Source organism: Homo sapiens, chromosome 2 (assembly GCF_000001405.40).
Source record: "Homo sapiens chromosome 2, GRCh38.p14 Primary Assembly".
NCBI lineage: Eukaryota > Metazoa > Chordata > Mammalia > Primates > Hominidae > Homo > Homo sapiens.
The window spans coordinates 70,072,633-70,091,451 of record NC_000002.12 but is presented as its reverse complement, the minus strand read 5'-3'; the positions used below and the strand labels follow the sequence as shown (position 1 = coordinate 70,091,451).

Below are 18,819 nucleotides of genomic sequence, written 5' to 3'. Positions count from 1 at the left end.
ACCACTTGCCAGCCTATATTAGAACCTGCTTCTTCCTTGAGGTAGTTTGCCAACTGCTATTCTTGCTTTTCATCTTTCCAAGTAGCAATTCGTCCTATGCCTTGCTGCCTAAATCATTATTTTACAAATTATTGCCAGCTTTGCCCAGTATAAGATGCAGTGGGGAGGAGGTTCAGGAAAGTCTGAGGCCTACTTTTCTTTCTTTTTTCTTTTTTGAGACAGGGTCTTGCTCTGTCGCTCAGGCTGAGTGCATTGGTATGATCACAGGCCACTGCAGCCTCGACCTCCCAGGTGCAGGGCAATCCTCCCACTTTAGCCTCCCAAGTAGCTGGAACTACAGGTGCACACCACCACACTTGTCTAATTTTTTTTTCTTTTTTTTTTTTTTTTGTAGAGACGAGGTTTCACCATGTTGCCCAGGTTGGTCTCAAACTCCTGAGCTCAAGTGATCTGCCCACCTCGGCCTCCCAGTGTTGGTATTACAGGCATGAGCCACTGCACCTGGCCTAATTTTTGGTATTAAGACCTGCTTTTCATAGGGCATTCAAACTGCTTCACCCAGCATTTCAGGGATTCTTCAAAGACTATTTGGCTTGGTGTTTGAGGGTTCAAGCTTATATCCCCTCTTGCCTTGATTTGGATTTGTGCTTATTGTTCCCAGAAGGCATGGTACCCACTTCTGGGTCTTCACTAGGTCCCCCTCCCTCCCCACCTGTCTTGGCCTCTCAGTCCAACTCATTTAATACACATTGCTTTGTTTCCTACCTTTTAATCATCTGTCTTCTCTGCCCAGATTTTGTGGCCAACCCTCAGCCCCCAGAAATGGGCCTTTTGGCTTTTTATAATCGAGTACACTGAAATTTACTGTGTTCTAAGCACTGTTCTGTTTTATATACATGCTTTCATTTTATTTTCACAAGCCCAGAAGGTGTTAATTTTAACATCTTCATTTATAGAGATTAATTTGTCCAAAGCCATGAATAGGAGGCAGAACTCAAATTTGAAAGCAAGTCTAACTCCAGAATTTGGGCTCCTTTCAGTGACTGCTTGCCTAACCCTGCGTGACCACATAATAAGCCTCAACGAATATTTACTGTGGATAATACTCCCCTCCCACAGGAACTTCTCTTTGCCATGAGTGATCTCCCATAGTGCCTGGGGTTTGAACTACCCACTTTGGCACCTACTGGTCTATTGTCTGATACTATTGTTTCTTCTTTCCCTCATCTCAGGCTCTATTTTCTCATACTATTGTTTCTAATGTTGCCTTTGCCTAGCAGTTTTCCTTCTCTCATCAGGTCAGGGATAGTCCTATTGGCTGACGTGGGCGTGAGGGTGCTACGGCCTTCACAGCGGGATCTTCCTCCTCCACTGAAGACAATCAGTGGCATTCAAATCTAAGACTCCTTTGGGGTGTTTGTTAAAAATACAGCTGATTAGTTTTGGGGTGGGACAGAGGAATCTGCATCTTTAACACTCAGATCATTCTTAGGTTATAGTCAGTGCATCAGTCTACATTCCCGCCTTGTGAAGACTGACCCATTTAGGCAGGATTATTTCCTGGTATAGGGATTCTCTAAACATTGCACACAGCTGAAGAATTGGAAACTGGGCCTCTTTTGTTTCTGGATACACCACTTGGCAGGTGTAATAACATCCTCTGACAGGCTGCTTGCCACAGGTGCATGCTTGACACGTGCGTCTCGTTGGTACCGTCCCCTCCCCCCTTCCCACCCCTGCTGCCCAACCAAGACCCCTCTAGTCCCACCACCACCCGGCAGCTGTTGCCCTCCTCCAAGCCCCCAATCCTCCCCGGCCCACTGCCCTCCCTTCCTTTCCTTTCCCTGCCCCCACACCCCTTCCCCAGGCTCCTCCCACCCCAGAATATTTTTTTGTTCCTAAGTTTATCCTGTGAGGTGGGGGTGGGGGAACTGGTTAGATGGAGAGGACGCTCTGCCATTTAGAGGTCCTACTGAGTGGGCACACCTTTTCCCCTCGAGAAAACCTTGTTTCTACCAGAGAAATGGGCAGAGGCCTCTCTCTGGAACTTGAACCTCTCTGTCCCTGGAAACATCCCAAAGCAGGCCCAGCCTGCCATGTTCCTTTGTTGGGGCACAGAGGGAATGGAATCTTACCGATAAGGTGAGAAGAGCTTGAGAGAATACCAAGGACGGGCCCACCCTTCTCCCTCCTCCCTCCAAACACCTCAGGCTAAAAGGGGAGGGAAAAAAAAGGCACCAACAAAGAGTTTAAGACAGCAATTCCCAGCTTTTTCAAATATGAAGCATTTTTTAACCAATCCGTTTTTTAATTCTTAAATTCTTGACATTACAGAACTAAACTGAAATTTATTAACATTCCACTCTTACATTTCTTATCGACAAACAGAAATAAAATTCATGAGCCAAAAAACCCAAAACAAAACTAAAAACAGGGAAAAGCTTATAAAACTAAATATGGATCCCAGCATTAACAGCTGAACAGAGAATGTGATTTTTAAATTCTTAGCGGATGATAAAGTTGTGTAGAAACTGAACACTTACAAATTATTTAAAACCTGGAATCACTGACCAGAAATTACACAGTTGGATCATGGGAGAACAGCAGAAAGGGGTTATTGAGGGAACCTACACTGTTCTAGCTGCACCCCATGCCCTTCTCAGAGGAAAGCCTGGCATTGATTAGATACTGGGCCAGACTAATACTGGCAGCAGAGCCAGTGATAGTAACCTGCCTACCAGAGGAGCCTTCCACTGGGTTGGCAATTTTGATCTGGGCCCCGGACATCTGGCGGATCTCATTAATGTTGGCGCCTTGGCGCCCGATTATGCAGCCAATTAAGTTATTTGGAATGGTGAGTTCATGGGTGGTTTGAGTAGATGCATCCAAACTTGCCCAATAGCCTTTCACCTCTGGAGAGCTGGAGTCAATTCCGGCGAATCCGGTCCCGCCGTGCATCATGGCAAAGTGAGACTGTTGTCTTGCCACCTGGTTCAGCTTGGCCAGATCGAGCGGAGAAATGGTGTGTTGTCCTTGAATCGAGTAGGCATCTAGAGGTGGTCCCTCCAGGTCATGGGTGGCATGGGGGTAGCCCGCAGCGTCGCTGCACCGATCTTGGCCGCCCGCGCAGATGACTGGGGAGCTGGCCGGCATGGGCTGGTACGGAATGGTCATGACTCTCCCTTGCGGAGACTGGGAGAGCGTCTCCAGCATGACCAGGCAAATCTGCTTGACACACTCGGTGACAGACTGCGGCACGCCAGCGATGGTGATGGCCCGCTCGGTGGAGTTGGGCAGCATATCCCCCGCCACCTGGACCTGCGCCCCCGTACTCTCGCGGATCTCTTTGATCTTACACCCGCCTTTCCCAATCAGGGAGCCGCACTGGGTGGCCGGCACCACCAGCCTCAGGGTGACCGGGGGCCTGCTGGCCGCGGTACTGTTGGTCATGGAGCTGTTGATATCTTCCTCCAGCTTGTCGATGATCATAGCGAAAGCCTTAAAGATGGCATTGGTGGGGCCGGTCAGAGTGATGATTCTCTCCGGACAATTCCCCTCCGAGATGTTGATCCGCGCGCCACTCTCCTCGCGGATCCTCTTAACCGACTCCCCTTTCTTCCCAATGATGCTTCCTACTTCCTTTCCGTGCATAAGAAGCCGAATGGTGAGAGTCACATTTAGTCCACTTTCAGTCACACCGGCATCCATGGCGAGCGGCGGGCGGCGTTCGGGGGAGTTGGGCTCGTTACGTGGTCAAGTCTTTGGCGGCTGGCGGGGGGAGGGGAGGTGTAGGCCCAAAACTGCCGGCGCGAGGCGAGCGAGGGCCGCGGGAGCGAGCGGGAGCGGGCGGGAGGCCGCAGCGTAGTCGCAGGGGCGGGCGGCGGCGGCGGAGGGGGCGAGCGGGGCCGGGAGCGGCGGGCGGGCGGGTGGGCGAGGGCGCGGCGGTGGCGACTCCGGCGGCAGCCTCGGCGGTCTGGGCGGGGCGGGAAGCCCGCTTTCAACCCCGCGTACCCTCTGACCCCGGAAGTGCTTGCTGCGCAGGACCCCTTGAAAAAAAATGAGGACCCGTCTTTTTTAGGTCACAAGATTGCGCCAACCCTTACATGGTCCTTAAAAAAAAAACCTTCTGACACTGCAGTAGTGAAAATGAAGCGCACGATGGGCGGAAGCTGTGAGTCCGGCAAAGTTTTAAAATGATGACGTATTTTATTAACTCTAACGGCACTGGCGGGTGACTGAAAATACTAGTGCTGTGTATGCGGGATAGACATTATTTTCCTGCCCTACATGAGGGGCTCGTGCGCGGAACGACATGGGCAGCCCCGGCGGAAACTGCAGGCACAAGCCGGGACGCCGCGGGTTTAAAACATGCGCGTGAGGTGACCAGAGCGCGTGCGCGAGGGTGTGGGGGGATGGGAGGGGCAGCAGCCCTCTTCCGGGGGGGAGGGGCGGCGAGGCGAGGCCTGCGGAGCGGGTGCGCGCGGGCGGGCACGTGGGGCCCTTTCGTCCCCGGCGTCCGGGCGCCCTGCATGGATCCCCCACCCCAGCTCCTGCTCCCCGGCGGCGGCCGGTGGGCAGAAAGACCGAAACCCACTCACGGCCGCCTGCCGAATCGCGGCTCTGCTGTTTGTGGGGCGTGCTAGAAACGTGGTCCTAAAAAGAATGGCGTCCATTTACATAATGCTTTGTTTGCGTTTCGCAAGTTTCTTTCGGTTAAAGCCACAGAAACCCCACCTCCTGCCCTTGTGTCGTTTCCACCGCGGCACCCTTTTCCGACATTAGAAACAATAGTGTACGCCTGTGGAGGCCTCGTTTGTTCAGGGGCTGCCGGCCAGGGCTTCAGGACGTTTCTGCGGCTTTCCCCGCGCGGCCTGGGCTCCCGCGGCTGCTTTTCGGGCCCATGGGCGCAGCCACTGCGCCAGGCTCAAGGGGGGCGGCCCCGTCAGGGCCCGCCATCTTGGAAGGCCTTTTTTGCCGGTTCTTCCCGCTGAGGAAGTGTCGCTCAAGACGCTGGCCTATGAGTTGTGATTTCTGCCTTTTCCCCTTCCTCCTTGGGCTAAGCCAGACCAGAAAGGGCCCCGTGCGCAACGTGCTTCACAATCTCTCAGGGAAAGCGGCTAACGTGGCGCTACTCCGCCTCCCCTGTTCCTTACCCTTGGGGCGGCCGCCATGTTTCCTGAACACAAAATGGCGACACGTGGTTAGCATTCGTCGCCAACGAGAAATTGGGGTCGGCCCGAAAGCTCTAGAATGCACCCCTCTTCCTCCCCGGGGCCTTCCACCTCCGCGAGTTTTATGACTTAAAAAAGCCCACAGGCTGGTCTGAAGGTCGGAGGCCTAATTTTAACGCGTTTTCCTCCCTTTAATTTGAAACGGGAACGCGAATGACTGTAAAATGTGGGCACAATATTTAATCTCTCGCCTTTTTAAAGCTTAATAGTGGATAATAGGGGGGCAGTATCAAGGGATAATTTGGGTCCCCACAGTACCAAAGCATTTAGAAACCTCTGTTTAATTTAAGGAATGAGATAAGTTACTGCTTTTCTAGACTTCCTAGCATGGGCTGTTGTGCTGGAGAGAACGAGAGCTACGAAGAGACTACAGTGCCTCTGACTTTTTCATAGGACAGTTGGCCGGTGAATCTTATTAATAGTTTACCACAATTAAGTGTTCATTTTTAGTCTAGAAGGGACAGGCGTTTATTGTGCATTGGCCAGTGCCAGCACATCCGATGCAAGGCAGTTCACCGTATTCTATCTTTAATTTTTACCATGGTCCTCTGAGGTAGGTGTTCTTATCTCTCTCTCTCTCTCTCTCTTTTAAACAGAGGAAGACAAACATAAAGATGAAGTGCTTAATTCAAGGTCACACAATGTCGGGGATGGACCTCCAGATTTCCTTACTGGTGAGCACATTTTCCAGGTTTTTCTGTAAATCAGGGTTTTGGAATTTAAATACTATTTAAAACGTTTAGGTGAGCTTGTCATTTAAATGAGCCCTTCAGGTAATCTTTTGTTGTGCAGTCAGCCCCTTTTTGTATCAGGCAGCTCCCAGCTTTTCCTGATAAGAGCTACACCTGTAACGGGCGGGCGGGCTGAAATGCTGTCTTATGCAGTGTCTGGTGAGGATAGGGAGGGGGAAGTGATTCAGCCTGCCCAGAGGCTCAGGTGTCTGTCGGTCTGGCCCTGTCTGTGGCACATTTGAGCCTACCTGCCTCTGGGGGAGCAAATGGTTTTTTGTATGACTGACTTGCTTCCGTCAGCTCCCCATGGGCTTGACTCTTGCCTCCCCCACCCCAGCACCCCAACCAGGTAAAAATAAATTCGCTCTGGCACCAAGCCTCCATTTCTCTGCAGAGATTGACAGAGCATGACAGAGTGTTAGGTCAGTCTGTGGACTCTTCAGTTCAATGCAACACGTAGCTAGTGGGCCAAGCAACAAACTGGTGCCTGAGCAGGGCTCTGATTGTGTGTGGATATGAGAGACAAAGAGAAGGGCTTTTTGCCTTTAACTTATGTTACTATCAGATATATTTTCCAAAGTGGTTTCATGTTAGTTTATATAACTCTACGAACATTTAATAGGTACATAACAGCAACGATGACAGTTACAGCACTAGGTGCTTACTGTGTGCTGGGCATTGTTCTAAGCCTTATTTTATGTATTCAGTGTCTCACATTTTTAAAAAAACCACTAAGAAACAAATTTTACATTATGATTTAAGACATTTATGCACACATATGTAACAAAATTTTTGCAAAACAATATTTGTTACTACATGCAGTATATGTACTTGGGTAATTTCTATTCTTTATATATAAAAAGGACACATTATAAAGTGATTAAAAACCCATTAATAAGTTGTGACCGCTTATACACATTTAATCCTCACAAAACCTCCTGAAATGGGTGGTGATATTAGGTCAGTTTTACAGAGGTACAGATTAGTGAAGGAATTTATCCAAGGTCACACAGCTATTAAGTGGTAAAGCAAGGATTTGAATTTAGGCAATCTGAGTCCAGAGACTCCATTCTTAACCACTAAACTGGATGTGGTCTCTGCAGAGAGTCCTGTCTCATAGGGAGACAGAATAGATGAGGGAATTAAAAATATTACCAAGTGTTAGAAACTCAGGTGACAACAAAAGGACTAAATTGCATATAATCAAGGAATGTTCAAACAAAGCCTTCTTCTGGTCTTTTAAATCTAACTTATTTCTTTTCTCTAGAGAAAATTTTATCTGTCAGGTCTTTCTTTCCAAGACTACCTACTGAAATATTTCCATAATTTCCTGTTATGTACTCCTGGGACTTAGTGCACCTCCTCAGTGAAGCCTTCCCTTTCCCAGCTTCCCCAGCTCTTAGCCTCCCTCCTTCCCCGAGAGTCTTAACAGTTTCTCCCTTCGGTAGCCCACGTTTGGACGTTGGTTAAATTGTAATGTGTCTTGGGGTTGGTAACATGTCATACAGACACCTTGGGTGATGCTGTGGTCTGGCAAAGAGGTCATTGGACCTTGGAATCTGAGGCTCTGGGCCCTAGTCCTAGCTCTGCCCCTGTCTAGCTCTGAGACTTCTACAACTCATCTGTCAGGGTTTCAGTTCTCCCTTTTATAAAGCAAGAGATTAAATGATCTCTAAGGGTCCTTCTACTTATGTCCAGGGACTGATGATATTTGATGACTTTGGTTATTTTTCTTTGGCGGGGTGGGAGGTTTATGTAAATGTTTTCTGCACTTTTGGTAAAATCTCCACTCCCTTCCTCAGACCTGCATTATCTTGTGGATACCTGAGTGAATTCCACACCACCCATTTTATAGATGAAACCACTGAGACATGGAGCAATTGACTGAGTAGTCACTGCCCCACCCCTGCCTGGAGCCTCACACATGACTCGCCTCCTCTCAGTGACCACAGGTTGGTTGAGGGGTTTAACAAGGCTAAGAAGGTGAGTCAGGTTTAGACTTTGGAAGTTGAACCACAGGATTTATGCTACATACAGAGGAATGATTGTTGCTTCCTCTTATGTTAAGTTGGTATGTCACGTAAAACCTTTCAGAGTGCTTTCACGTTACTTGTTTAATCATCACAGACAACTTTGCCAGTAGGGTCTTATGCCCATTTTACAGAAGAGCCATTTTTGGATTAGAGGAGTGAAGTGACTTGCCCAACGTTACACAGCCTGTTAGAATTTGAGCTGAACCTCTTGACTCTTAGTTATGGATTACACCTTTCCATGGCTTCTGATGCTTTTGATATGGACTTTGATGTGTGGGATAGCTTTACCTTAAACTCAAAAGGCTTTCTAGCCAGTTACTATTTTTCTGTCCCCAAACAGCCAATGCATTTACCTTAAGTTCCTAACTCTTGTTTTAGAAAATCTCTTCCCTCTTTTCCCTGATGTTTACATTTATGGGTTTGGAAGGGGTGGGAAGGATTCCTCAATAAGACTCTTATGTTCTCTGGGGGCAGGGACCACATTTATTTTCTGTAACCTACCTGGTTCAGCAAGCATACTATGGTTGTTTAATTTTTTTATTTTTAATTTTTATTTATTTTTTGAGAGAAGGTCTTGCTCTGTCACCCATGCTGGAGTGTAGTGGCTCCATCGTAGCTCACTGCCACCTCTATCCCCCAGGCTCAAGCAATCCTCCCACCTCAGCCTCCTCAGTAACTGGGACTGCAGGTGTGTGCCCACCATGCCGGCTGATTTTTAAGTTAAATTAATTTATGTATTTATTTTTGAGACAGAGTTTCGCGCTTGTTGCCCAGGATGGAGTGCAGTGGCGCGATCCTGGCTCACCACAACCACTGCCTCCCAGGTTCAAGCGATTCTCCTGCCTCAGCCTCTTGAGTAGCTGGGATTACAGGCATGTGCCGCCACACCCGGCTGATTGTGTATTTTTAGTAGAGACGGAGTTTCTCCATGTTGGTCAGGCTGGCCTCGAACTCCTGACCTCAGGTGATCTGCCTGCCCCGGCCTCCCAAAGTTCTGGGATTATAGGTGTGAGCCACCGCACCCGGCCTAATTTTTTTGTTTTTATTTTTAGTAGAGATGAGGTCTTGCTGTGTTGCTCAGGTTGGTTTTGAATTCCTGAGCTCAAGTGATTCTTCTGCCTCAGCCTCCCAAAGTCCTGGGATTTCTGGTGTGAGTCACCATGCCTGGCCTATAGCTATTTAAAGTTGCCGTACTGGCCAAGTACTGTGGATGAGGTGGTGAGGCGGGTAGACCATCTGAGGTCAGGAGTTCGAGACCAGCCTGACCAACATGGCAAAACTGTGTCTCTACTAAAAATACACACACACACACAAATTAGCTGGGCGTGATGGTGCGTGCCTGTAATCCCAGCTACTCGGGAGGCTGAGGCATGTGAATGTGAACCTGGGAGGCAGAGGTTGCAGTGAGCTGAGATGGTGCCACTGTACTCCAGCCTGGGAGACAGAGTGAGACTCTGTCTCAAAAAATAAAAATAAAAAATTGCCCTACTAACGTAGCTTTTTTTTTTAAGTGGTTTCTTTTTCTCTCTTAAGATTTATCTTTCTATTTCTCTTTTATTTAAAGTAATAGTAGTCTGGGCACGGTGGTTCACACCTGTAATCCCAGCATTTTGGGAGGCTGAAGCAGGAGGATCACTTGAGTCCAGGTGTTGGAGACCTGTCTGGGCAACATGGTGAGACCCTGTCTCTACAAAAAAATAAAAACATTAACTGGGTGTGGTGGCGTGCACCTGTAGTCCCAGCTACTTGCAAGGCTGAGATGGGAGAATCACTTGAGCCCGGGAGTTGGAGGCTGTATTGAGCCATGATCGCGTCACTGCACTTCAGTCCGGACAACAGAGTGAGACCTTATCTAAAAAAAGAAAATAAAAAATAAAGAGTAAATTGAGAGAGCCTTTCCCCTGTTACTTTCTAGGTTACTACAGTTGGAAATATATCTGTTGAAAAATTTTTTTTTTTTTTTAAGATGGAGTCTTGCTGTGTCACCAGGATGGAGTGCAGTGGCGCAATCTCGGCTCACTGCAACCTCTGCTTCCCGGGTTCAAGTGATTCTCCTGCCTCAGCAACCCGAGTAGCTGGCACTACAGGCGTGTTCCACCATGCCTGGCTAATTTTTCAGTATTTTTAGTAGAGATGGGGTTTCACTGTGTTAGCCAGGATGGAAAATTTTTTTATTTGGAAAGGAGAGCTTTATTTCTCATAAATAAATGCCAGGCTGGGAAGTGAGCCTCCAGCCAGAAGCCAGAAACAGGCACTTCCAAGCAATGTATCTTACCCATATTGTAGATAGTAACAATTTGACCTCATATGCTGGTGACCCTGCACTGCTGTTAGGAGATCACTTCTTGGTTCTCTGAGAAATGTAAGAAATGTGTTGGGGTTGGTATAGCTGGGTGTGGTGGCTCACACCTGTAATCCCTGCACTTTGGGCGCAGAGGCAGGAGGATTGTTTGAGCCTACGAATTCAAGACAAGCCCGGGCAACATAGGGAGCCCCTGTGTCTACCAAAACAGTTAGCCCAGCTGCTGGGCAGGTTGAGGTAAGGAGTTTCAAACTAGCAGACTGCAAAGTGGAGGACAGGGAAGGGTATTCCAGGCAGAGGAAGCAAAGGCCTGAAGTCAAAGAAAGCACAGTCAATTGAGAAGTTGTAGTCATTTCAGAAAGATATGAATGAAGGATGTTTACATTATCCAGTTTTTGGTGACTATTGTTTTGCTACTTCACTAGTGTATATTATTGAGATTTGACTATACTTGCTAGAGCACAGAAAGTTAAAGGCTTTATTTTATAGCAATAATTCTCTTTTAAGGTGAAGACATCAGAAATTATACTTCCTGTCCAGAGATTCTAAGGAGAAAATGTAAATTAAACCTGACCTTTGAGTTAGCAAATGATTGATAACTCTCTGTCCTATAAAAAAAAGAAGGGGTGGCCGGGCACAGTGGCTCACGCCTGTAATCCCAGCACTTTGGGCGGCCGAGGCGGGCAGATCACCTGAGGTCAGGAGTTCGAGACCAGCCTGGCCAACGTGGTGAAACCCTGTCTCTACTAAAAATACAAAAATTAGCTGAGTGTGGTGGCACATGCCTACAATCCCAGCTACTTGGGTGGCTGAGGTAGGAGAATTGCTTGAACCTGGGAGGCGGAGGTTGCAGTGACCCAAGATGGTGCCATTGCACTTCAGCCCAGGCAACAAGAGTGAAACTGTCTCAAAAAAAAAAAAACAGAAGGGGCAGGGCACAGCCTACTCCTTTCTCTCTAACTTCTGAATCTTACCATGTTTTGCTTTGTTTTTGAGGAGGGGTATGTATGGAAATTTAGGGTCTTTGTTAAGCTGGTTAGGAGGTTTGAGTTAGAGGGGAGAGAAAGGAGTTCAAGAATGATTGCTACTTTATGCAGAACAAAAAAAATACATTTAAATAACTCATTTCTCTGATCCCACTTACTAAGCACAAGCAAGACTTAACGGATTTTGTTTCAGAGAGACAGTTACTTCAACCAGACAAAGCATTTGTTCAACATTATTCACTGTGTAATATTTGTTGTGTCCCGATTAAGAGCATTGATTTTTGCTTTTTGTATTTCTGAGACACGGATATAGCTGAATTAAATAGAACCCTTCTGTGTGTTCATTGGATAGTACTGGGATTTTTATGTGGATTAAAAGAGAAGAAAAGTGTTATGCGTGGAATAGGAAAGAACAGGTTTAGAAAATGTATGTAGAGTCAGTGGTCATTTCTCACCCATTTTTATTCTTGATATCTCAGTAGCATTTGATACTCTGTTGCACCCTAGCTTCACTTGTCTTCCAGGATGTCACTCCCTTGATGCTGTTCCTGCCTCACTGGTTCCTCCTTCTCAACTTTTTTTTTCTTATTCTTCATCTCCTCACTCTCCATTGGTGGAGTACTCAGAGCAGTCCTTGGATCCCTTCTCTGTCTACACTCTTTTCCTAGGTGCTCTCTTTCAGGACTTTATTTTTTAGAGACAGATTCTCACTCTGTTGTCCAGGCCGGACTGCAGTGGCATGATAATAGTTGACTGTAGCCTTGAATTCCTGGTCTCAAGAAATCCTCCCTCCCCTCCTCAGTGGCTAGTACTACAGGTACCCACCACCATGCCTGGCTAATTTATTATTTTTTTTTTTGTAGAGACAGGGTCTCACAATGTTGCTGAGGCTGGATTCGATCAAGACTTTAAATGCCGTTATTCCCTGACAATTCATGAGTTTACATTATTAGCTTGAATGTCTTTCCCTGAACTCAAGACTTATATCCAACTATTCACTGGATATCTCCACTTGGGTGTCTAATAGTTTGTTGAACTTATTAAAAAACTTCAGAACATCTCCTCTCAAATCTGCATCTCTGGAAGGTCCTCCCCATTTCAGAGTTGCTATTCATCTGTGTATTGAATATATAGAGAGTCTCCCTTAAATCTGTTTTTTCATTCTCTTCATCCAATCCACCAGCAGGTCCTGTCAACTTCACCTTAAGATATATCCAGTATTTAAACACTTCCCACCACCTGCCCTGCTGCTACTGGAATAGCTTTCTAAGTGGTCTTCCTCCTTTTGCTCTTTGCCCCCTCAATCTAATTTTAACAGTGACCAGAATAATCCTTTTAAGTATATATCAGATCAAGTCACTGCTTTGCTGAAAACTGTCACCTGGGTGCCCAGATTAAAATCCCACCTGGATTAAAAGGTAGTGTCCCTACCATGGTCTATAAGACCATGTAGGATTCACACCACTCTCTCCCAGCTGCTCTGACTTCATTTCCTACCACTTCCCCTTGTGCTGTAGCCACAATGGTCTCCTTTGCAGTTGCTCCAGCATGCCAGGCCTTGGGGCCTTTGTAGTTGCTTTTTCTGCCAGGAACATCATTTTTCCAGATGTCAGTATGGCCTTCTCCCTTATCTCCTTCAGGTTTCTGCTCAACTGTCACTTAATCAGTGAAATATACCTTAACTGCCTTGTTTAAAATAAAAGCTATCTCTCTGCCTTCTGCTTTCTCTGCTCCCCTTCCCTGTTTTTTCTGCATAGCACTTGCTATTTGACATATTGTTTATTCATTCATTGTTCATTATTTAGCAAGTATTTATTGAGTGCTGTCTGCTTGTGCCAGGCATTGTGTTCTAGGGACTCTCTACCATAGTTTATTACATGTCACCACCCACTAGAATGTAAATTTCATGATGGTTAGGACTTTGTTTTGCTCATTGCTATAGCCCCACTGCTAGAACAGTGCTTGTAACATAGGAGCTGAATGAATAAATTTATTTAATTATTATTTTTTTTGAAACAGAGTCTTGCTCTGTCGCCCAGGCTGGAGTGCAGTGGCGCGATCTCGGCTCAGTGCAGCTTCCGCCTCCCGGGTCTCCTGCCTCAGCCTCCTGAGTAGCTGGGATTACAGGCGTGTGCCACCACGCCTGGCTAATTTTTGTATTTTTAGTAGAGACGAGGTTTCATCATGTTGGTCAGGCTGGTCTCAAACTCCTGACCTCATGATCCACCCCACCTCCGCCTCCCAGAGTGCTGGGATTATAGGTGTGAGCCACCACGCCCGGCTAATTTATTTAATTTTTATTTTATTTTTTTTGAGACAGAGTTTCGCTCTTGTTGTCCAGGCTGGAGTGCAATGGCGTCGTCTCAGCTCATTGCAACCTCTGCCTCCCGTATTCAAGTGATTCTCCTGCCTCAGCCTCCTGTGTAGCTGGGACAGCAGGCGGACGCCACCATGCCCAGATAATATTTTGTGTTTATAGTAGAGGCGGGGTTTCACCATGTTGGCCAGGCTGGTCTCGAACTCCTGACATCGGGTGATCTGCCCACCTCGGCCTCCCAAAGTGCTGGGATTACAGGTGTGAGCCACTGTGCCTGGCTGACAGTTTCTGTTTAAAGTAAATACTATTTATCTCTGCTTTATTTTGAAAAAAAGTTTCATAATAAGTGTATGGTTTTTTTTCCTAATGAAGGTAATAAAGGTTTTATTTTTAAAAACAAAGACTTTAGAATATTGCTTTTTATAGAGTAACATGTTTCCAATAAATATTTCCCTTTTTCTCCACCCAAGTACTTATCCTGTATTACATGAAGGAAATGAAATAAAAAGACTGCAGCCCCACTCCCAGCTACTCAGTGAGGTGGTAGCTAGGTAAGAAAACAACCCTTTCCTTTTAGATGAAATTGGAACTTAGGAGGTAGTAATCTTTGGGAGAGGCTTAAAGGGATTGATAATGATGATAACAAAAATAATAGTAATGGCCAGCTTTGATGAACCGGGCACTGTGCTAAGAACTTTATGTTGGTTGCCATCTTCTGACAACCATATGATTCCGGTACTATGAGAAGTAGAGCCAGTGTAGTAGGAGTGAGGAGCATAGACTATGGGGTCGGACCTCCTGCTTTGACACCTAAGTTTTGCCGGTAACTGACTGTGTGGCCTTGAACAAGAAAACTGTGCCTCATTTGTACGGATAGTCCCTGACTTACAGTGGTTTGACTTACAATTTTCAACTTTACGATGATGCAAAAGCCATATATGTTAATTAGAAACTGCACTTGAAATTCTTAATTTTGATATTTTCCTGGCCTACTGACACGTTCTCATGATGCTGGGCTGCAGCAACAAGCTGCAGCTCCCACTCAGCCGTGCAGTCATGAAGGCAAACAACCAATACTGCACACTGTACTGTGTTTAATAAATTACATGAGATATTCAAGTTTATAATAGGCATTGTATTAGATGATTTTGCCAAGCTAGAGGCTAATGTTAAGTGTTCTGAGCATATTTAAGATAGTCTAGGCTGAGCTATGATGTTTGGTAGGCTAAGTGTATCAAATATGTTTTTGACTTACGGTATTCGAGATGTAACCTCATCATAAGTCAAGGAACATCTGTATTTGTACAATGAGGATAATGATAATACCTGCCTCCTAAGATGGTGGTGACGGTTAAATGCCATCAGCTATGTAAAGTGCTTAGCATAGTGCTTGGCACATAGAAAGTGCTTACCAAATGTCAGCTATTATCATAAAAATTAAAATAGTTGTTATTCTCATTTAAAAGATGGATAAACAAAGGCTTAGAGAAATAAGGTAAATAAAGTAATTTGTGTAAGTCACACAGCATATAAATGACGGAATTAGTTTGCACCCAGGCAGTCAAACTCCAGAGCTTTTGCTAACCATTACGCTGCATCACCTTAGTAGGTTGAGAGGAAGACTGGGCAAAAACTGCATCTTGTCAAACTTGAGTGTAGGGGTAAAGGTCAGGCTTGAGTTCTGACTTACCTAACCTTCATTGTGATCTTAAGCATCTTATCAGTGTAGCATGTGCCTCGATTATTCTCTGAATTGATTCTTCCCTAGATCCAAAGACATGAATGATAGGTTAGTTATATTCTTCTCCTGCTGAGGGATTGGGTGTTCCCTGGACCGGGAAATGGAGCTAAACAAACACCTATGTCTCAGTGCTTTTTGGACCATAAGTAAGAGCTTGTCCGGCCTCTCTTGTTATTATGCTTGTTTATTTTTTCACATGACTGGTAATGATGAGAAGCAGAACAGCATACACATTGAGAATTTTCTTTTTTTTTTTTCTTTGAGACGGAGTTTTGCTCTTGTTGCCCAGGCTGGAATGCAATGGCGTGATCTCACCTCACCGCAACCTCCGCCTCCCGGGTTCAGGCAATTCTCCTGCCTCAGCCTCCCAAGTAGTAGCTGGGATTACGGGCATGTGACACCAAGCCCGGCTAATTTTGTATTTTTAGTAGAGACAGGGTTTCTCGATGTTCCTCAGGCTGGTCTTGAACTCCCAGCCTCAGGTGATCTGCCTGCCTCAGCCTCCCTAAGTGCTGGGATTACAGGCGTGAGCCACTGTGCCTGGCCACACGTTGAGAATTTTCTACATGCTATGTACTCTACATGGATTATCTCATTTAATCCTTAAAAATAACCTCATGGTGACTCTTATCCCCGTTTTATAGAGTTGAAGAGAGGTTAGAAAACTTGCTTCAAGTTGCACAGTTAATAAGTAGTAGAGCAGGGATTTAAATAAGGCAGTCCATCCTGAGTTCATGCTTGCTTTTTTTTTTTTTTTTTTTTTGAGATGTTGTCTTGCTCTGACCATTCTGGCTAACACGGTGAAACCGTGTCTCTACTAAAAATACAAAAAAAATCAGCTGGGCATAGTGGCAGGCGCCTGTAGTCCCAGCTACTCGGGAGGCTGAGGCAGGAGAATGGCGTGAACCCGGGAGGCGGAGATTGCAGTGAGCCGAGATCGCGCCACTGCACTCCAGCCTGGGCGACAGAGCGAGACTCTGTTTCAAAAAAAAAAAAAGATGTTATCTTGCTCTGTGGCCAGGCTGGAGTGCAGGGGCGCAATCTTGGCTCACTGCAACCACCTCCATCTCCTGGGTTCAAGCGATTCTCCTGCCTCAGCCTCCCATGTAGCTGGGACTACAGGTGCATGCCAGCATGCCCAGCTAATTTTTCTATTTTTTAGTAGAGACAGGGTTTCACCATGTTGGCCAGGATGCTCGATTTCTTGACCTCGTGATCCGCCTGCCTCGGCTTCCCAAAGTGCTGGGATTATAGGCGTGAGCCACTGCGCCTGGCCCCGAGTTCATGCTCTTAACCTCTGCACTCTACTGCTTGTAGTCTTTTCTTACCTCTGTTAAGTAGGTAGTATGGACTGTGTGGTATAAGAGTAGTAGGGCCAGCTCTGTTTTTCTCATATGAAAAATGGGAAGATTTTGACCACTGGACTAGGAATAAAGAGGACTGTGATCTTGACTTGACCCTGCCACCAACTTGCCATATTTAGGACTTCACTTTTTTTAGTTTTATGGTCCTTATTCATTAAACAAAGGGGTTGGGGCCAGGCGCGGTGGCTCATGCCTGTAATCCCAGTACTTTGGGAGGTCGAGGTGGGCGGATTACGAGGTCAGGAGCCTGGCCAATATGGTGAAACTCTGTCTCTACTAAAAATACAAAAAAAGGCCAGGTGTGGTGGTGTGTGCCTGTAGTCCCAGCTACTCGGGAGGCTGAGGCAGGAGAATCGCGTGAACCCAGGAGGCAGAGGTTGCAGTGAGCCAAGATTGTGCCACTGCACTCCAGCCTGGGCGACAGAGCAAGACTCTGTCTCCAAAAAAAAAAAGCAGTTGCTCTAGATGGCCTCTGAAGTCTCTTTGAACTCTGATGTTCTGTAATTGATCATAGGAAGTAAGAGTAACACCTGCTTAACACCTGCTTAGCTCCTTGAGTTTGGGGCAATGGTATTTGTGATTTCTGTTTTTTTTTTTTTTTTTTTTTTTTTTTGAGATGAAGTTTTGCTCTGTCGCCCGGGCTGGAGTGCAGTGGCGAGATCTCGGCTCACTGCAAGCTCCGCCTCCTGGGTTCACGCCATTCTCCTGCCTCACCCTCCCGAGTAGCTGGGACTACAGGCGCCCGCCACCATGCCCGGCTAATTTTTTTGTATTTTTAGTAGAGATGGGATTTCACCGTGTTAGCCAGGATGGTCTCCATCTCCTGACCTCGTGATCTGCCCATTTCGGCCTCCCAAAGTGCTGGGATTACAGGTGTGAGTCACCGCACCTGGCTGTGAGTTCTTAGAGAGTCTGCCTTGTGCAGGGAAGATGCCAGATTCTAGGGCAAGGGATGAGCCGTCTCCCTGAAGAAGGTAGATCTAGGTTCTTTTTTGAGGCTGGTTGCCAAGGGAACCCAGCCTCTGGCCAGCAACAGCCAGCAATGCTTTGGTTGAGGCTTGGGTACACATAATGAAAACAAGCCGCACATTTAGGTTTCATTCCTTGCCTTTCTCCCATCTCCACCTTTCCTTTTTCTTTCCTTGTTAAGCTGCTAGTTTTAAACACATTCATGTGTCAGACACTGTTTTAAATACTTAACAAAGTATCGTTAAGTATCGTTAAAGATTAAATGAAGTATCATTTAATCTTCACAGTAATCTTACAAAATAGGTACTCTTATTCTAAACAGAGGCAAGTAGAGTTAAGTAATTTGTCCAGATTTACTCAAGAGAAAGTAGTATCAAACCCGTACTTTTAGCTACTAAGTTGTACTGCCTGGTTGGATATTTAAAAAAATAGAAGAGGGACTTCTTAGTTATTTATTAGTGGTTTTTGTTTGTTTTGTTTTTATTTAGAATAAAAACTCTTGGAGCTGAAAAGAGCCTTTGAAGTAATTTTATGCAGTCTCCTTGTCTCCAGCCTGCCATCCAATTACAGGAATGTTTTCTATCATTCTCCTGACAAATGATCTTTCAAGTTCTCTTTGAATACCTCCATTAATAGGGGAGCTCATCAGTTCTTAGGACATCGTTGTTGAAAAGCTCTCATTGGTAGAAATATAATCATAATTTTTTGAGATAGGGTCTTGCTCTGTCACACAGGCTGGAGTGCAGTGTTGGATTACAGCTCACTGCAGCCTCAACCTCCCTGGCACAAGCGATCCTCCCCCTCAGCTTCTCCCTTCTCCGAGTAGCTGGGACTACAGGCACATGCCACCATGCCCGGCTGTTTTTTTTTTTTTTTTTTTTAGTTTTTTATAGAGACAAGGTTTCACTATATTGTTCAGACTGGTCTCGAATTCCTGGGGTCAAGTGATCCTTCTGCCTTGACCTCCTGAAGTGCTGGGATTACAGGCATGAGCCACCATGCCCTGCAAAAAATTATTATTTTTGTTTTTATTTTATTTTATTTCATTTTATTTTTGAGACGAAATCTTGCTCTGTCGCCCAGGACAGAGTGCAGTGGCACAATATTGGCTTACTGCAACCTCTGCCTCCTGAGTTCAAGTGATT

General features: G+C 46.1%; 2 protein-coding genes, 1 long non-coding RNA gene and 1 pseudogene across 94 annotated transcripts in view, besides 9 other annotated features; 3 read left to right on the top strand and 1 right to left on the bottom strand.

The window, feature by feature from the left end:
* Window positions 1,633-1,722: a silencer, noted in NCBI's record as "silent region_11606". NCBI's record gives its function as "represses an Ori minimal core promoter by ATAC-STARR-seq in GM12878 lymphoblastoid cells {active_cell/tissue: GM12878}" and the evidence as "EXISTENCE:reporter gene assay evidence [ECO:0000049][PMID:35858748]".
* Window positions 1,813-1,862: a silencer, noted in NCBI's record as "silent region_11605". NCBI's record gives its function as "represses an Ori minimal core promoter by ATAC-STARR-seq in GM12878 lymphoblastoid cells {active_cell/tissue: GM12878}" and the evidence as "EXISTENCE:reporter gene assay evidence [ECO:0000049][PMID:35858748]".
* PCBP1 (poly(rC) binding protein 1) lies at window positions 2,249-3,975 on the bottom strand. The gene has a single exon (NM_006196.4). It carries the CDS (start codon window positions 3,706-3,708, stop codon window positions 2,638-2,640), a length of 1,071 nt encoding a protein of 356 aa, NP_006187.2. The 5' UTR covers window positions 3,709-3,975; the 3' UTR covers window positions 2,249-2,637.
* Window positions 2,671-2,837: an enhancer, noted in NCBI's record as "conserved acetylation island sequence C15". NCBI's record gives its function as "activates a minimal heat-shock promoter by reporter assays in Jurkat T cells {active_cell/tissue: Jurkat}" and the evidence as "EXISTENCE:reporter gene assay evidence [ECO:0000049][PMID:17135569]".
* Window positions 2,909-3,553: an enhancer, noted in NCBI's record as "NANOG-H3K27ac-H3K4me1 hESC enhancer chr2:70315031-70315675 (GRCh37/hg19 assembly coordinates)". NCBI's record gives its function as "activates a minimal SCP1, AML or CMV promoter by ChIP-STARR-seq in primed H9 embryonic stem cells {active_cell/tissue: H9 hESC(primed)}" and the evidence as "EXISTENCE:reporter gene assay evidence [ECO:0000049][PMID:30033119]".
* The window catches only part of PCBP1-AS1 (PCBP1 antisense RNA 1), a 125,946-nt gene continuing 110,370 nt past the window's right edge, over window positions 3,244-18,819 (top strand). For 16 of the 83 annotated variants that reach the window (NR_183099.1, NR_183104.1, NR_183101.1 and 13 more), the window contains exons 1-3: window positions 4,506-5,636; window positions 5,828-5,905; window positions 7,765-7,914. This is a non-coding gene — a long non-coding RNA (PCBP1 antisense RNA 1). Of the gene's footprint in view, window positions 3,665-4,076; window positions 4,380-4,436; window positions 4,475-4,505; window positions 5,906-7,764; window positions 7,946-9,961; window positions 10,083-18,819 lie in introns of those variants that run through there. The other 67 variants (NR_183096.1, NR_183095.1, NR_183097.1 and 64 more) reach the window with 17 other exon arrangements.
* Window positions 3,889-3,948: a silencer, noted in NCBI's record as "silent region_11604". NCBI's record gives its function as "represses an Ori minimal core promoter by ATAC-STARR-seq in GM12878 lymphoblastoid cells {active_cell/tissue: GM12878}" and the evidence as "EXISTENCE:reporter gene assay evidence [ECO:0000049][PMID:35858748]".
* ASPRV1 (aspartic peptidase retroviral like 1) overlaps window positions 4,077-18,819 on the top strand; it is a 154,659-nt gene continuing 139,916 nt past the window's right edge. The window contains exons 1-3 of one of the 10 annotated variants that reach the window (NR_170632.1): window positions 4,077-4,171; window positions 5,828-5,905; window positions 7,765-7,914. The gene's annotated coding sequence lies outside the window, so the exon portion shown is untranslated. Of the gene's footprint in view, window positions 4,172-4,434; window positions 4,475-5,058; window positions 5,637-5,827; window positions 5,906-7,764; window positions 7,946-18,819 lie in introns of those variants that run through there. The other 9 variants (NR_170635.1, NR_170638.1, NR_170636.1 and 6 more) reach the window with 9 other exon arrangements.
* Window positions 4,399-4,548: a silencer, noted in NCBI's record as "silent region_11603". NCBI's record gives its function as "represses an Ori minimal core promoter by ATAC-STARR-seq in GM12878 lymphoblastoid cells {active_cell/tissue: GM12878}" and the evidence as "EXISTENCE:reporter gene assay evidence [ECO:0000049][PMID:35858748]".
* Window positions 4,759-4,968: an enhancer, noted in NCBI's record as "active region_15988". NCBI's record gives its function as "activates an Ori minimal core promoter by ATAC-STARR-seq in GM12878 lymphoblastoid cells {active_cell/tissue: GM12878}" and the evidence as "EXISTENCE:reporter gene assay evidence [ECO:0000049][PMID:35858748]".
* Window positions 5,009-5,098: an enhancer, noted in NCBI's record as "active region_15987". NCBI's record gives its function as "activates an Ori minimal core promoter by ATAC-STARR-seq in GM12878 lymphoblastoid cells {active_cell/tissue: GM12878}" and the evidence as "EXISTENCE:reporter gene assay evidence [ECO:0000049][PMID:35858748]".
* Window positions 5,239-5,378: an enhancer, noted in NCBI's record as "active region_15986". NCBI's record gives its function as "activates an Ori minimal core promoter by ATAC-STARR-seq in GM12878 lymphoblastoid cells {active_cell/tissue: GM12878}" and the evidence as "EXISTENCE:reporter gene assay evidence [ECO:0000049][PMID:35858748]".
* On the top strand, window positions 16,180-16,438 carry RN7SL470P (RNA, 7SL, cytoplasmic 470, pseudogene; annotated as a pseudogene).